Genomic DNA, 3,025 nt, shown 5'->3' on the forward strand with positions numbered 1-3,025 from the left:
TGCTCCTCACTTCCCAGATGGGGCGGCTGCCAGGTGGAGGGGCTCCTCACTTCACAGACGGGGCGGCTGCCGGGTGGAGGGGCTCTTCACTTCTCAGACTGGGTGGCGGGCAGAGACGCTCCTCACCTCCCAGATGGGGTCGCGGCCGGGCAGAGGCACTCCTCACATCCCAGATGGGGCGGTGGGGCAGAGGCGCTCCCCACATCTCAGACGATGGGCGGCTGGGCAGAGACGCTCCTCACTTCCTAGACGGGATGGCGGCCGGGAAGAGGTGCTCCTCTTCCCAGACTGGGCGGCTGGGCAGAGGGGCTCCTCACATCCCAGACGATGGGCAGCCAGGCAGAGACGCTCCTCAGTTCCCAGACGGGGTGGCGGCTGGGCAGAGGCTGCAATCTCGGCACTTTGGGAGTTCAAGGCAGGCGGCTAGGAGGTGGAGGTTGTAGCGAGCCATGATCACGCCACTGTACTCCAGCCTGGGCAACATTGAGCACTGAGTGAATGAGACTCCGTCTGCAATCCCGGCACCTCTGGAGGCCGAGGCTGGCAGATCACTCGCGGTTAGGAGCTGGAGACCAGCCCAGCCAACACAGCAAAACCCCGTCTCCACCAAAAAAATATGAAAACCAGTCAGGCGTGGCGGCGCGCGCCTGCAATCCCAGGCACTCGGCAGGCTGAGGCAGGAGAATCAGGCAGGGAGGTTGCAGTGAGCTGAGATGGTGGCAGTACAGTCCAGCTTCGGCTCGGCATCAGAGGGAGACCGTGGAGAGAGAGGGAGAGGGAGACCGTGGGGAGAGGGAGACCGTGGGGAGAGGGAGAGGGAGACCGTGGGGAGAGGGAGAGGGAGACCGTGGGGAGAGGGAGAGGGAGACCGTGGGGAGAGGGAGAGGGAGAGGGAGACCGTGGGGAGAGGGAGAGGGAGAAGGAGAGGGAGACCGTGGGGAGAGGGAGAGGGAGAGCAAGAATTTTTTTCTACCTGTAAAAATATAGCATTAAATTCTTCAATATACATTTCGGCTTCATTTGTGAAGGGCCTGATTTTGTGATTGAGTTGTGTAGAATAAGTACATAAATGTGCAGACAGGATAGTACAGAAAAGAAAACATGGCCTGATTCATCATAGAATTGCCTTTTAATTCCTGGAAGTCAGGGGGAGCTAGTATTGAAAATGTGGGGAAATGGTGTGTCTTTTCACATGAAAGTTCTCACACATGTGGAGATAGTATTTATCTATTCAACGCCCCTCTGAACGCAAAACTTAGAAAAAAAGTTACATAGTACAGCTAATAGCACAGCTCTGCCTCTTGCTCTCTCTAGATCTTTTTTATTTTTGGTAGGGAGCTAGCAGAGGTTGTGCGACAGTCAACAAAGTATTTCTTGACAGATGTGGTGGGGAGGGGATTTGGGAAAGGGGTGTGGGTTGGAAGGATACCTATCCAGGTACTGTGCTCACTACCTGGGTTGGAAGGATACCTGTCCAGGTACTTGCTCACTACCTGGGTTGGAAGTGTACCTATCCAGGTACTGTGCTCACTACCTTGGTAACAGGATCATTTGCAACCAAGCCCCAACAACACGCAATTTACCCACGCAAAAAACCTGTACACGTGTCCTTTGAACCTAAAATAAATGTAGAAAAACAAGAAACTGAAAAAAATAAAATTATTCTACACCATTATTGACCAAAGAAAATGAAATAGATATAGGTTATTTAATTTTTAAAATACTGACATTTATAAAAATTATTCTCAATTTTTTTCAACTTGAAATGCTGCAGGTAATATTCATAAGTCTGCCTTTTATATATTTCTATCTCAATGAAAGAGTAACTTTTATGTTACTGTTAAAACAACAATATTAGAATACACAAATTTAAATAATAATATGTATAGATTCATAGCAGATGTCCACTGCTCTATGACTTTGCCTTGAATGCATAATTCTAGCTTTTAAATCATTAAAGAAAACAATGAAATAGGCATCATTGTAGCTCTTGTGAAATGTAAATGTAGATCTACTCTTTATCTCTTCTTTGTCCATCATTTTCTTCTTTTTCATTTACATATCATCTATAATATCCATTCTATAAAAATGAAAATAAGAACAGGATGAAGACTCATAATATCTTAATAGCTGATAATCTGAGTTGCTAACATCATAGGCTATGGTATGATGAAATTTGTATAGGTCCTTGTAAATTCCATCTCCATGGTATTACACTGAAGTAAACATATAAAAAGCGAGTGAAAGTGGCATTATTTATTATTCTGGAGATAAACTCTAATCTCTTTTAATTTAGACATTTTAAAAGACATATATGTTTTTAGTCATATGTGCATTTCTTAGGACCCATTTCTTTAGTAAGAGCTTTTAAAATTTACTCTTTCAAAATTCTTATGGATTTTTTGTATTATTTTACCAAAGTTTAAAGGCATGAATGTATTACTATCAGACCTAGATGGCACAAACCCTAACAAACCTCCCTCCCAAACCAAACCAAACCAAACCAAACCATTTTCCTTTTCCTTCCTTCCTTCCTTCTTCTCTCCCTTGTTTCCTCCCTCCCTCCCTCCCTCTAGCCCTCTCTTCCTCCCTTCCTTTCTCTTTCTTTCTCCCCCCCCTTTCTCCTTCCCTCCCTTCCTTCCTTCCTTCTTTCCTTCTTCTCTCCCTTGTTTCCTCCCTCCCTCCCTCTAGCCCTCTCTTCCTCCCTTCCTTTCTCTTTCTCCCCCTCCCTCCCTCCCTCCCTCCCTTCCTCCCTTCCTTCCTTCCTTCTTTGGCTTATAAAGCCAAAGCAAAGATAGTAAAATTTCATAAAAATAAGATAAAAGAAACAATGACTTTGTACAACTTATATAGGGACCTGGAAAGGGGTATTAATTTTGGGATAGGTAAAATTATTCAATGTCATATTATTTGATCAAAGTAATTAACTGACAAAACTAGTGTCCAATGATATAAGTATCCTAAAATTTTTTGAACTATATTTTCACCGCTTTTTTATATATTTCTACAATTCCTATCAAGAAGT

The 3,025-nt window shown here is 44.6% G+C and overlaps 1 annotated feature.

The window, feature by feature from the left end:
- Nucleotides 329-1,170: an enhancer, noted in NCBI's record as "H3K27ac hESC enhancer chr6:140695359-140696200 (GRCh37/hg19 assembly coordinates)". NCBI's record gives its function as "activates a minimal SCP1, AML or CMV promoter by ChIP-STARR-seq in naive H9 embryonic stem cells {active_cell/tissue: H9 hESC(naive)}" and the evidence as "EXISTENCE:reporter gene assay evidence [ECO:0000049][PMID:30033119]".

The sequence above is a fragment of the Homo sapiens genome, chromosome 6, assembly GCF_000001405.40.
Source record: "Homo sapiens chromosome 6, GRCh38.p14 Primary Assembly".
Taxonomy (NCBI): Eukaryota; Metazoa; Chordata; class Mammalia; order Primates; family Hominidae; genus Homo; species Homo sapiens.